We start from the raw sequence: 15,117 nt of genomic DNA, 5'->3' as shown, positions 1-15,117 counted from the left end.
TAAGTATTTCCAACTGAATTTTTAAAAAGGAAATTCAACAGAAACTAAAGGCTAATTACTAATTTTTTTTTTTTTTTTTTTTGGAGATGGAGTTTTGCTCTTGTTGCCCAGGCTGGAGTGCAATGGCGTGATCTTGGCTCACTGCAACCTCTGCCTCCCGGGTTCAAGCTATTCTCCTGCCTCAGCTCCCAGGTAGCTGGGATTACAGGCACCCACCACCATGCCCAGATAATTTTTGTATTTTTAGTAGAGACGGAGTTTCACCATGTTGGCCAGGCTGATCTTGAACTCCTGACCTTGTGATCCATCCGCCCTGGCCTCCCAAAGTGCTGGGATTATAGATGTGAGCCACCATACCCGGCCTAATTACTAATTTTTAAATGTTTTCTTATGCATACTAATAGGATGACTGAGAAAGGAAATTACTTTTTCATACTTATGAAAATTTTATATTTAATGGAGAACAAAAATAATGAAATTAAGTCCCTACCACATAGATATAGGTGCCCAAAACAAAAATAAATTACTGGGGATCTGCCTCACAGGCAAAGAATAATTTATATTGGTCATATACTCAACCTGGTTTTATAATTAAATTAACCAAAGTCCTAATAATAGTGTTACATTGAAAGCTACTTACTATAGCATTAGCAACTTGAAGCATTTCTTCAAACAAAGAGTCTTCTTGTTTGTGGCGGCCACTTGTATCAACAATAATAATTTCAAAATTTTCATTTTTAAATTTCTCTACTCCTTCAGAAGCAATGATGACAGGATCCATTTCTGTATAGCTATATAACATGGACAAATGATTTAACAAAACGACAAAACTTCCAAATACTACTAATTCGGAAAGTTAATTTACCTATAATCTATTTTGAAAAAGCCAAAATGACCCCAATTTCAATTTAGAAGAGGAAAATCTATAAAGTATTAAATACAGAATCTACTTCTAAAAAAGCATGAAGCATTATCCAATTTTCCAATTCCAAAACCCAGTATGATTCTACTGCATGTCTTTTTTGAATGAATTGTGTCTCCTTCAAATTTATTTTTTATATCTTCTTTAATAATTGAACTCATGCTCACAGTGTTTCACACATTTTTCCATTTAACATCCATTTGGAAGCATTTTATAAAACCAGTAGATATTCTTGTAACAAGCCTGAGCAATATAGTGAGATTCCATCTCTACAAAAAAAAAAAACTAGCTGGCATAGTGGAATATGCCTATAGTCCCAGCCACTTGGGAGACTGAGGCAGGAGGACCACTTGAGTCCATGAGTTCGACACTGCAGTGAGCTTATGATCATGCAACTGCACTCCAACTTGGGCAACAGAGCAAGACCATGGCATGTCTCTTTAAAAATTAACACGGGTGAAAAAAGAAAAAATATTTCTGTAACACATAACCTTGAGGTTATACAGCATTCTATCAGATGGCTGTATCATTTATTAAATAACGCCCTACTATTAGACATTTGACGTTTTTCCAATTTTTTTTTTAATTTTTATGTATTTATTTATTTATTTTTGAGACAAAGTTTCACTCTGTTGCCCAGGCTGGAGTGCAGTGGTGCGATCTCGGCTCACTGCCACTTCTGCCTCCTGGGTTCAAGGGATTCTCGTGCCTCAGCCTCCCAAGTGGCTAGGATTACAGGCGCCTGCCACCAGGCCTGGCTAATTTTTGTATTTTCAGTAAAGACGGGGTTTCACCATGTTGGTCAGGATGGTCTCAAACTTCTGACCTCATGATATGCCCGCCTTGGCCTCCCAAAATGCTGGGATCACATGCATGAGCCATCATGCCTGGCCTCCAATTTCTTTTTTAAATTTATTTATTTATTTATTTTGAGGCACAGTTTTGCTCTTGTTGCCCATGGTGGAGTGCAATGATGCCATCTCAGCTCACCGCAACCTCTGCCTCCCGGGTTCAAGCAATTCTCTTGCCTCAGCCTCCTGAGTAGCTGGGATTACAGGCACACGCCACCACGTCCAGTTATTTTGTATTTTTAGTAGAAACGGGCTTTCTCCATGTTGGTCAGGCTGGTCTTGAACTCCCGACCTCAGGTGATCCACCCGCCTAAGCCTCCCAAAGTACGGGGATTACAGGTGTGAGCCACTGTGCCCGGCCTAAAAAAATTTTTTTTTTTAAACGGTGTCTAGCTCTGTCACCCAGGCTGAAGGGTAGTGGCACGATCTCGGCTCAATGCAACCTTCGCCTCCCAGATTCAAGCGATTCTTCTGCCTCAGCCTCCCAAGTAGCTAGGATTACAGGCACCCACTACCACGCCCAGCTAATTTCTGTATTTTTAGTAGAGACAGGGTTTCACTGTGTTGGCCAGGCTGGTCTCGAACTCCTGACCTCATAATCCGCCCGCCTCAGCCTCCCAACGTGGTGCGCCCAGCCTGAAAATTTTTTAAATTTATTTTTTGTAGAGATGAGGTCTTGCTATATTGCCCAGGCTGGTGTCCAACTTCTGGGCTCAAGCAATCCTCCCACCTCAGCCTCCCGAAGTGCTGGGATTACAGATATGAGCCACTGTGCATGGCAGTGTTTCCAATTTCCTGATATTAAAAATACCGCCAATATAATTGGTACATAAATGTTTCTTCTTTGACACTATGTTATGACACCTCTTATAAGCTGAATTTGGAACAAATGGTATGACCATTTAAGGCTTTTTGCTTTTATGAGGCAAATCTCTTCCATAAAAGTTTAATCTCATCCCTATTTCACTACATTTTCACAATCCCCAATACAATCTTTGTCAACTTGAAAATCAAGAAATGAGATATTTTAATTTGCACTCTTCTGATTAGTGGCAACTTTTTATATGCAGATCACTATTATCAAATAAAGACACATAATGTTACAAAAAAAGTTTTTCCCCTAAATTAAGAACCACCACCAAAAACTCAGATAGAAATACACTTAATAAGAACATGTGTGTGGCTGCATACAGTGGCTCAAGCCTGTAATCCCAGCCCTTCGGGAGGCTGAGGTGGGAGGATCATTTGAGCCCAGGAGCTTGGGACCAGCCTGGGCAACAAAGGATATTTTATAAGACAGGGTCTTTACAAAAAGTTTTTAAAAAAATTAGCAGGGCATGGTCAGGCATGGTGGCTCATGCCTGTAATTCCAGCACTTTGGGAGGCTGAGGCAGGTGGATCACCTGAGGTCAGGAGTTCGAGACCAGCCTGGCCAACATGGTAAAACCCTGTCTCTACTAAAAATACAAAAATTTAGATGGGCATGGTGGTGGGCACCTGTAATCCCAGTTACTCAGGAAGCTGAGACAGGAGAATCACTTGAACCCAGGAGGTGGTGGTTGCAGTGAGCCAAGATCGCACCATTGCACCCCAGCCTGGGTGACAGAGGGAGACTCCGTCTCAAAAAAAAAAAAAAAAAAAAGCTGACAGACAAGAAGAGGGATATAAGTGTTAAAATAAAAAACAGTAACCTACCTTCCATAAAATGGAATTCTTGCTTTGGTAGCATTCTGTTTTAGTTGGTCAAAAGCCCCTGGAAGATAAAGAGTTCATGAATCCTCAAACTTGAAAATAAAAATTATATAAAACAATTTTCAAATTTCAAGACATTACCTGCTCTGAATGTGTCTGCACATATTAAACAGGTCTTCCAACCTTTCCTCTGGTAATAATATGCTAGCTGGGTGAGAAAAGATTTAAAAATATAATATCATAAAATATAACAAACTATACATATAATTTTTTCTGTTTTTCCTTATTATTTACCTAAGGAGTAAAATAAAACTGCTTATAATTCTCCTGAAAATATTATTAAAGATTTTTGAATGTGGCAAATTTCCTACAAAGTTTTATATTCTAATTGTCATGCAGTAGCATTCAAATATAAAATGATCAAGTAGCAAATGATCATAGCAAAAAATGTTAACTACTATTAATGTTAATTAAAAACAAACAACAACAAAACGATCTAAAAATCATCCTTTTCTCTTTTTCCCTCTCAAACTGTAACATACGTGAAGCTTGTGGAAAAATCTTGTAATATTGTTGAGACATGCAATTTGGGAGAAAGGAGTGGTAAACTGAATTAAAAATTAGCATAAAGCGGTCAAGGCTACAGTAAGCTATGTTTGCGTGCCACTGCACTCAAGCTTGGGCAATAAAAGTAAGACTCTGTCTAAAAAAATATGGCATAAGGATACACAAAATGAAGATCTATAGTATGCTGGGTGGGAACCTGAAAAAGGAGTCCTGAGCCATAGAGGATAAAGTAAACTCCATGTTCTCTTCTCCAAAAATCACACACTCACTTCCTGAAAGGATAGGAATGGTCTTTTTTTAATAAAAGAAATAGCATAGTTACAGATGTCTACCTTCTTACAAAAAAAAAATCATAAGAAACTATGAGGACCTCTCCTCTTATCCTAAAAAAAACTATTTAAAAACATACATCAAGTAACACAAAATTATAAAGCAACAATATTATAAAGCCTGGCTTTATATCTTAATATGTTATTAATATATTTTAATGTAAATATATTTTAATAAAATCTATTTTATGTAAATATATTTTAATAAAATCTATTTTATGTAAATATATTTTAATAAAATCTATTTTATGTAAATATATTTTAATAAAATCTATTTTATGTAAATATATTTTATTATAATATAAATATATTTTAATAAAATATATTTTATGTAAATATATTTTATTATAATATAAATATATTTTATGTAAATATATTTTATATAAAATAACATTATTTATAATATATAAATGCATTCTAATAATTATAATTAATAAAATATATATTTCAACATTATAAAGCCAGGCTTTACATTTTTATATTAAATACAAAACTTGATTTATACAAACCTATCTTCCATATGACTTCTTTTTAAATTAAGTTCAATTTACCTTTGAACATGTTGTTGTTTTACCACTCCCTTGCAATCCAACAAACATAATCACATTTTGTTTTCCTTTAGTGGGTGTCCATGCCTTAACTCCAGGGTCTACAAGCTAAATACCAAAAATAAATTAAAAATAAAATCAGGTTAACATACATATAAATTCAAAACCCCTTCCCCACAACTTTTTTTTCCTTTTTTGAGACAGGGTCACACTCTTGTCACCCAGGCTGGAGTGCAGTGGCATAATCAGAGCTCACTGCAGCCTCAACCTCCTGGGCTCAAATGATGCTCCCACTTCAGCCTCCCAAGTAACTGGGACTACAGGCACACGCCACCACACCTAGTTAACTAAAAAAATTTTTTTTTGTAGAGACAGGGTCTTGCCATGTTGCCCAGGCTGGTTTCCAACTTCTGGGTTCAAGCAATCCTTCTGTCTCAGCCTCAAAGTGCTGGGATTTCAGGCGTGAGCCACTGTGCTGCCACAACTTTTAAATTATATAAATAAGGACATTTTCATGTAAAAGCTACCATAAGCTATTATAATACAATTATTCCCCTTTGTAAAGACAGAGTAAAATTTAAGAACATAAATTTAAGAAGTCATAATCAAGTCTATACTCCAAACCAATTCAGAGGTAAAGATCTCACAGCATTTTTTAGAACAAGCTGGAGTATAAAATGTGAAACCAAATTTAAGCCACAGGAGGAATCTACATCAGCACTACAGAAATGTAATACAAAAATGTATATGAAGGCTACACATGAATTTTAAAATTTCCAGTACTGACATTTAAAAAGTAAAAACAGGTGATACTAATTTTAGTATCTACCCCAATACATCTAAAAAATTATCATTTTCATATGTAATCTATATAAAAAATTAATGAGATATTTTACATTTCTTTTCCCATACCAAGTCTGAAAACCTGGTGTGTATTTTATATGTAAAACACATCTCAGTTTGGACTAGCCACATTACAAATGCTCAATAACCACATGTGGCTAGTGGATGCCATACTCGAGAGTGCTAATGTCCATATTCAATTTGACAAATATTTACTTAACAAAATTACAGATTATATGTGAAAGATTTTCCAGGTCAAACTGTAAATTCTCCAATGCCAAATATTTACTGTAAAGTTACTACATTTAGAGGGCTAGTAAAAAATAATAATCAACTTTAAAATCAGTCAGTGGAAAACTGAGGTTCATATAGGGACAGTCTCCAAATTAAAAAAGCATGGGACATTTAGGGCCGGGCGCGGTGGCTCATGCCTGTAATCCCAGCACTTTGGGAGGCAGAGGCAGGTGGATCACAAGGTCAGGAGATTGAGACCATCCTGGCTAACACGGTGAAACCCCATCTCTGCTAAAAATACAAAAAATTAGCCGGGCGTGGTGGCAGGCGCCTGTAGTCCCAGCTACTCTGAAGGCTGAGGCAGGAGAATGGCATGAACCCGGGTGGCGGAGCTTGCAGTGAGCCGAGATCGCGCCACCGCACTCCAGCCTGGGTGACAGAGCGAGACTCCATCTCAAAAACAAAAACAAAAAAAAGCATGGGACATTTAAAAAATAATTCACTTGGGGGTCAGTTGTTTGGAGCTTGAAATGTATGATAAAATAATAAATCTATAATAGTTAATGTCCTAGATCAGGGGTTGGTAAACTATGTGCAAATAAAGTTTCAATGGAGGCTGGGTGTGGTGGCTCATGCCTATAATCCCGGCCCTTTCAGCGGGGGGACAAAGGAGGAGGATTCATTGAGACCAGGAGTTTGAGACCAGCTTGGGCAGCATAGCAAGATCTTGTCTCTACTAATTTAAAGAATTGGCCAGGTGTGGTGGCACGCACCTGTGGTCCCAGCTAATCAAGGAGGCTGAGGCAGTAAGATTGCTTGAGCCCAGGAGTTTGAGACTGCAATGAGCTATCATCAGGCCACTGTACTCCGGCCTGGGCAACAGGCTGTAAAGTTATTACATTTCTAGTTATTACATTGAAAAAAATTTCAATCTAATACAGTCATGCCCATTCATTTACCACTTTTTTTGTTTTTTTGAGACAGGGTCTTACTCTGTTACCCAGGCTAGAATGCACTGGTACAATCAATCATGGCTTACTGCAGTCTCGAACTCTTGGACTCAAGCGATCCTACCATCTCAGCCTCCTGAGTAGCTGGAACTACAGGCATATGCCATGATGTCTGGCTAACTTTAGTATTTGTTTGTAGAGATGGAGTATTGCTATGTTGCCCAGACTGGTTTTGAACTCTTGGCCTCAAGTAATCCTCCAGCCTTGGCCTCCTGAAGTGCTGAGATTACAGGTATAAGCCACTGTGCCTGACCCATTTACTGCTTTTGTGCCACAACAGCAGAGCTGAGTAGTTGCAATAGAAATCACGTGGTCCACAAAGTCTAAACCTTTGAGAGAAAGTCTGCCAAGCCATCCATAAAAATTACATCATCTATATTATACTTGAATTTCAAGGAAAGCCATGAGGTAGAGAAGAGAGGAAAATACATTTTCTTATACCTTTCCTAGGCATCAACCTACCCTTAGGCAAACTTTTGAAATAGGCAAAATCTGTCTTAAACATAAATCCACTTCCCTTCCTCATAGATCCTTTCAGTACACTGATGCTGCTCCACATTCATCTCCATTTTCTACATGTCATGGCAAAAACTCCCAGCTCTCTATGGACCCATTATTTGGAACATATATGTTTTAGTAAATAATTTTATAAATTTGTCTTCTCTTCCTCCCACCATCAAGAACAGCAGTTTTCAACTTCTTGGTCTCAGGGCTTCTTTATAATCATGGTAGTTTGTAAAGGTTAGCTGCAATGTAGAATCTGAAACCATATAAACTTTTATACTCGTTACATTAAAATCTGTGATTCCATCTTGCATTTTAAATGAATCTTATACTGGTAAATGATCTTGTAACATCACGCACTAGCTATTCACAAAACATTGGTTCACTGAGTTAGGCAGATCTCTCGTCATTGACATATTTCACTATACATAATCAAAAAACTTTATTCATTAATATCAATACTGACCCTCATCAGAAAACTAAGTACTGGGATACTGTCAAACTCATGATAGAGACAGATGATAGATACAAGTCCTTTTTATTTTTATTTTAGATGGAGTTTCGCTCTCGTGGCCTAGGCTGGGTGCAATGGTGTCATCTCAGCTCACTGCAACCTCTGCCTCCCAGGTTCAAGCCATTCTCCTGCCTCAGCCTCCCAAGTAGCTGGGATTACAGGCATGTGCCACTAGACATGGCTAATTTTTTTTTTTTTTATTTAGTAGAGACGGAGTTTCACCATGTTGGTCAGGCTGGTCTCAAACTCCTGACCTCAGGTGATCCACCTGCCTTGGCCTGCCAAAGTACTGGGATTACAGGCATGCGCCACCATGCCTGGAAGCTTTATTTATTTATTTATTTATTTATTTTGAGACAGGTCTCGCTCTGTCACCCAGGCTGGAGTGCAGTGGCGTGGTCTCGGCTCACTGCAACCTCCACCTCCCGGATTCAAGCGATTCTCCCACCTTACCCTCCCGAGTAACTCGGTTTACAGGTGTAAGCCATCGTTCCCAGCTAATTTTTGTATTTTTTGTAGTGATGGGGTTTCACCATGTTGCTCAGGCTGGTCTCAAACTCCTGGGCTCAAAGAGTAGTAGTCCCAGCTACTAGGAGGCTCAGGTGTAGGGATCACCTGAGCCCAGGGAGGATGAGGCTGCAGCAAGCCATGATCACACCACTGCACTCCAGCCTGGGCAACAGAGTAAGACCCTGTCTCAAAAAAAAAAAAAACCAAAAAAACCAAAAAAACAAAAAACAAACAAACAAAAAACATGGTGGTGCATGCCTGTAGTCCTAGCTTCTCTGGAGGCTGAGGAGAGAAGATCGCTCGAGCCCAGGAATTTGAGGCCGCAGTGAGCTCTGATCACGCCACTGCACTCTAGTTTGAATGACAGGGACTCTGTCTTCAAAAATAAATAAATAAATAGAGAGTCCAGAAACTACTAGTATCATCTGGTGCCACTGCCTTGATTCATACCAGGGAGTTTTACCTACCATTGTTTTCAGTGCAAATGTCAACATAGTACAAAAGTCAAATAATGTCTTAGTATTATGAAAATAATTTTGACCTTGCTTTGTACACCATTCCTCTAGACCATAAGCATCTGAGTATAAGAACCAGTCTCATTTATTTCTGCTATCAGCAGCATTTGGCATACTTCCTGAAATAAAGTAGGTACTCAATAAATGCTTCTTAATAAAGCACTTGATGCTCCAGAATTGCCTACAGTTACGAGCCCCTAACAATAAAAATTTCTGGCCAGGCAAAGTGGCTGACATGTGTAATCCTAACACTTTGGGAGGCCAAGGCAGGTGGATCACTTGAGGTCAGGAGTTCAAGACCAGCTAGGGCAACATGGCAAAACCTTGTCTCTACAAAAAATGCAAAAACTAGCTGGGCGTGGTGGCATGTACCTGTAGCCCCAGCTACTTGGGGGGCACTGAGGCAGGAGGATTGTTTGAGCCCAGGAGGTTGAGGCTACAGTGAGCCATGATTGCACCACTACACTCCAGCCTGGGTAACAGAGTCAGACTGTCTCTTAAAAAAAAAAAAAAAAAAAAAAAAGGAGGCCAGGCACAGTGACTCATGGTTGTAGTCCCAGCACTTTGGGAGGCTAAGGCAGGCAGATCACTAGGTCAAGAGATAGAGACCATCCTGGCCAACATGGTGAAACCCCATCTCAACTAAAAATACAAAAAAAAATTAGCTGGGCGTGGTGGCACACACCTGTAATCCCAGCTACTTGGGAGGCTGAGGCAGGAGAATTGCTTGAACCTGGCAGGCAGAGGTTGCAGTGAGCAGAGATCATGCCATTGCACTTCAGCCTGAGTGACAGAGGGAGAGTCAAAAAAAAAAAAAGAAAATATTCAAACAATGTGGGGGAAAAATGATTGTAGAACTAGTGGGCATCTAATGCTCTAAAAAATTTTTTTTGTTTGTTTTTTTTTAAAGACAGGGTCTCACCCTCTCCCCCAGTCGGGAGTGCAGTGGCACAATCACGGCTCACTGCACCCCCGAACTCCTGGGCTCAAGCAATACTCCTGCCTCACCCTCCGGAGTAGCTGGAACTACAGATGTGCACCACCATGCCCGGCTAATTTTTGTATTTTTAGCAGAGATGGGGTTACACCATGTTGGCCAGGCTGGTCTCGAACGCCTGACCTCAGGTGGTTACCCATCTCAGCCTCCCACAGTGCTGGGATTACAGATGTGAGCCACTGCACCCGGCCTGCACCAGCTATTTTTATCAATTTTTTTTTTTTTTATAGAGACTGGTTCTCACTATGTTGCCCTGGTTGGTCTCAAACTCCTGGCCTCAAGCAATCCTCCCACCTCCGCCTCCCAAAGCACTGTGATTACAGGCATGAGCCACCATGCCTGGACTAAAATAATTTTTTTAACAGCTCCTTTCTTTTTTTTTCTACAACTGAGCCCATATATATTTTTTAAGCTCTAAGATTTTCACCATAATTTGCATGATCAGCAATAAGGTGAGGCAGGGCAACTGGCTATATTTACTATTTGAAAATAAAACTTTCACTAATTCAAAATTGCTCATAATCTAGGCAAGAATTGGGATACATGGTCTTTGCAAAGGGAATTCCTTACACAACGAACAGTGTAGAAAAGAATACTTGCTATATGTGACTTTGCCATACAAAAGCAGGACCATCACTAGGCAAAACATGATAGTGAACGAGGAAAAACTTAGGCCCTTCCATCAACAAATCTGTAGTGAAATTTCACTCATCGCATCTTGGCTTTGGCATTTTTTGCAGGAATAGTACTAGCTTTCATATCTGCACTCAGAATTATGTATATTCAGTAAAGTCTACAATAAAAATAGGTCCTGGCCAGGTGCAGTGGTTCACACCTATAATCCCAGCACTTTGGGAGGCCGAAGCGGGCGGATCGCCTGAGGTCAGGAGTTCAAGACCAGCCTGACCCACATAGAGAAACCCCGTCTCTACTAAAAATACAGAATTAGCCGGGCATGGTGGTGCACGTCTGTAATCCCAGCTACTCGGGAGGCTGAGGCAGGAGAATTGCTTGAACCCGGGAGGCGGAGGTTGCACTCCAGCCTGGGCAACAAGAGTGAAACTCCTTCTCAAAAAAAAAAAAAAAAAGGTCCCTAAGAAAACTCAATAATCCTTTCATTAATATTTTAATACAGATGAATATTCCATAAAAAACATATTTAAAAATTCTGAAATATTTGTAGTGCTAACGCTTTTTTATCCACTGAGTATAGAATCACAGCATAATCTTCATATACTTTTACCTTCACAAGTTCTTTAAATACAGCATGCTGAATCATTTTTCTTTTGTTAAGACCAGATGCCATCTCTTCAAGATCAATAGCAGACCTTTATGATGGTGGTTGGTGATTGGGGTGGGGAGGAGAAAATCAGTTAAGAAACTCTAAGAAAAAGAAGCTTCTGCTCCAAAGAATGTACAACATTCAGTCATTCATATTAATAGTCTTCCAATTAACATGCATGTAATTACTACAGACTCGTAAGTCTATATCATAAAGAGTTTTCCCATGAAGTATTAGATGCAAGACTTTGGTTTTCAAGGATTACACTTGAAAGTATAAATATAAATTTGTCCTAATATTACCACAAAGAACTAGTTTTATTTACTTTTCTTGCAGCTTATATATTTTATATATCTTTACAACAGAAATCAGGACTACTTTCTCTATTTCTTTTCTTTCTTTTTTCTTTTTTTTTTTTTGAGACAGTCTCACTATCAGCCAGGATGGAGTGCAGTGGCATGATCTCGGCTCACTGCAACCTCTGTCTCCCAGGCTCAAGCAATTCTCCTGCCTCAGCCTCCTGAGTAGCTGGGATTACAGGCGTGTGCCACCATGCCCGGCTAATTTTTTGTATTTTTAGTAGAAACAGGGTTTCACCATGTTGGCCAGGCTGGTCTCGATCTCCTGACCTCGTGATCCACCCACCTCAGCCTCCCAAAGTGCTGGGATTACAGGCGTGAGCTACTGCGCCCGGCTACTTCCTCTATGTCTAAATGCTTAAATGCTGGTAGTCCCACAACTAATCTCAGTCTAACAATACAAGGAGAGATGTCTAAAGCATGGTAAGAGATAAGACTCAAGCAGTTAACTGAGCTACCTGTATTGCTCTGTGTGTCCTACCAACTCAGTGCCTCTCCCAATGAATATGATAACTGAGACCAAACACATTAATTCTTCATTCAAATATGAAACAGAGAAACCAAAAGGAGAACAAAAGAGAATACAGTCCTCCAATAATGAAGGTTGATTAAGATCATCTTAAGCCTAAAAAGAATAAAATGGCAGTACTTTTCTATGAAGAGCCTGAATTGTTAAAAGGCTTTATATATTAAAATACTATACAGTATTTAATCAAATCCATTCAAATAAAAGACTAGTAAAATAGAAAAAAATATGTAATTAAATGAAAATCACATGTAGTTTATTCTTTGAACCATCATTATGGAAACGTACTACACATGCTCTCGCCCAACATATGAGCTCCAACACAGCACTTTTCCAGTGGTGCAGAGCAGAAATGATTCCTGATACAGCAAACACTTCCAGTTAGCACCTCTTTCCAGTAAACTAAACTAAACTGTGCCTGTGTTTTACCTGATTGATTTAACTTACTTAACATTTTCTCTTAGTTGCTTCACTAGTTTAATATTAACATCTGCTTCCAACAAAGCGGTACAGACTTCTTTTAGCATAGCATTCAATACCTGAAAATAAAGAAATAAATGAAATTTAAAGCACCCAATGTTTCATTTCAGTTCCATAAAAACAATTGTTGATCACTTACATAACCACAGCTTAGTAATACCACACTACTGGGTTTTTCAGTTAGTTCTTGGAGAGATAATTTTATTAAATGTTTAGTCATTTTGTCAAAATAAGAGACCCCATTTAGTTTTACACCCAAGTATTAATTGCCACAATTTTATTCCTATATAAAAGTAATTATAGGCCCGGCATGGTGGCTCACGCCTGTAATCCCAACACTTTGGGAGGCCGAGGTGGGCAGACCACTTGAGGTCAGGAGTTCAAGAACAGCCTGGCCAACATGGCGAAACCTCATCTCTACTAAAAATACAAAAATGAGCTGGGCATGGTGGCACGTGCCTGTGATCCCAGCTACTCAGGAGGCTGAGGCAGGAGAATCACTTGAACTCGGGAGGCGGAGGCTGCAGTGAGCCAAGATAGTGCCACTGCACTCCAGCCTGGGTGACAGAGTGAGACTTTGTCTCAAAAAAAAAAAAAAAAAACCACACACACACACACACACACACACACACACACACACACATACACACAAAGTAATAATAAAGACAATATTCAAGCCAAAAAAAGTTACTACAAATAGATGTTGCCTTTGATGTTTTCTACTTTATTGAAGAGCTCCTGTCACTATTATGTAGTGGTATATAGTTACAATATTTGCTTTTCTTTTTTTTTTTTGGAACAGAGTTTCAGAGTTTCGCTCTTGTTGCCCAGGCTGGAGTGCAATGGCGTGATCTCGGCTCACTGCAACCTCCGCCTCCCAGATTCAAGAGATTCTCCTGTCTCAGCCTCCCTAGTAGCTGGGATTACAGGCGCCTGCCACCACGCCCAGCTAATTTTTTGTATTGTTAGTAGAGATGGAGTTTCACTATGTTGGCCAGGCTGGTCTCAAACTCCTGACCTCAGGTGATCCGCCCGCCTCAGCCTCCCAGAGTGCTGGGATTACAGGTGTGAGCTACCACACCCGGCTTAATATTGCTTTTCTTAAAAACTGGACAATTATGGAAGTAAATGTGACAGAAGGAAGTTACCCAGTCTTGTCATTTTTATTAGAGCAGCAGAATACAGGTGGAAAGGAGGCTACTCTCCATTAATAACTTATTATCATCATATGTTTGTTGAATTGCAAGGCACTGTAGTTAAAAGGTCATAAAATTAAAAGTCTTAAGAAAAGATGAGGCTTTAGCCACTCATGTATATAAAGTGCTCACACACTAGAATGTAAACTCTATGAGGTTAGGAATTTTAGTCTATTTTGTTCACCGCTGTATCTCTGGTGCCAGCAAAAATGTCTGCAAAAACATAGGCCCTCAAATATTTCTTGAATGTTCTCTCTCCTTCAACTCACTTCATATGCCCTACAGAGAGAGGCTTACCAGTTTTCTCTATCCCTCATTAAACGGGTCTGCTAAAATTCGAACTGATCTTTCACTAGAGGGCTTTCTCCTTGTTAATTAGCTAGCAGCACAGTATCAAGAACAGAGAAGCTGCCAATTTAAGCAACAGCTGTTACTCTACCTCCCACCAAGAACTCCTCCCCTGGTTTCCTTTCCTTTCTACTATAAACACAAAGAACATAAGGGCTACACAACAGGGAAAACTGTTTGGAAAGTCGTTTTATATATTTGGAATTACAAGACCAAACAATGATTTAAGTTATGATTTATTTTTTAATAAGCAGTATTAGAAAAAGCCCTGTATGAGGAACTAGGAAAAAAAGGTTCTAATCCTGGTTCTTCCAAATAAATAATCACATGAAACTGACTTTGGTTCTGTTAAATAAGAGGCTGAACTAAATGATCTCTAAGATGGTCTCAAAATTATTTAATTCCGTTAGCTTAGTATTGAGATCAAATTCCATGTAAGAATTCTACGTAAGTTTTCTAACCTCCAAGTTAGAAAGTTTATTTGAAACTTAAAACCATTTTCTATGGTAAATGCTATTTTTCCTATTTTATACACTAAGGAATCTAAGGTTTAGTTGCCCCAATTTACATCGTACAGCTGCTAAATAGCTACAGTGGGACTAACCAATGTCTTCTAACACCAAATTCAGTACTTTTCCATTGTTGATACAAAATATAAAGTATACTTGTGAACCACAGTCAACTTTTTCAATTAATAAACCACTAAGATACAATCTGTGGGGGACAAATGGAACAAAGAAATATCTTAAAATAATATAGCCGGGAAGAAAAGTATTTTAATATCATCTAAGGAGTGGCTTACAAAATCTCCAAAAAACTGAAGATTTCAAAGAAAATGAATCAAAACAGACAAGATGGAAATGCTAGCCTTTTATAAAAATGCTAAATAA

At 38.9% G+C, this 15,117-nt stretch overlaps 1 protein-coding gene across 5 annotated transcripts in view; it reads right to left on the bottom strand.

Moving 5' to 3' along the window:
• Positions 1-15,117, bottom strand: part of SRP54 (signal recognition particle 54) — a 46,576-nt gene that overhangs the window by 17,268 nt on the left and 14,191 nt on the right. For 3 of the 5 annotated variants that reach the window (NM_003136.4, NM_001411017.1, NM_001440813.1), the window contains exons 3-8: positions 12,651-12,742; positions 11,280-11,364; positions 4,913-5,017; positions 3,607-3,673; positions 3,469-3,526; positions 641-791 (exon numbers count right to left, since the gene is read on the bottom strand). In NM_003136.4, the coding sequence (NP_003127.1) occupies positions 641-791; positions 3,469-3,526; positions 3,607-3,673; positions 4,913-5,017; positions 11,280-11,364; positions 12,651-12,742 (558 nt within the window). Of the gene's footprint in view, positions 1-640; positions 792-3,468; positions 3,527-3,606; positions 3,674-4,912; positions 5,018-11,279; positions 11,365-12,650; positions 12,745-15,117 lie in introns of those variants that run through there. The other 2 variants (NM_001146282.2, XM_047431727.1) reach the window with 2 other exon arrangements.

This window comes from Homo sapiens, chromosome 14, assembly GCF_000001405.40.
Source record: "Homo sapiens chromosome 14, GRCh38.p14 Primary Assembly".
Classification (NCBI taxonomy): domain Eukaryota; kingdom Metazoa; phylum Chordata; class Mammalia; order Primates; family Hominidae; genus Homo; species Homo sapiens.
Note: the sequence above shows the minus strand (reverse complement) of the source record. Positions and strands in the feature narration are given on the sequence as shown.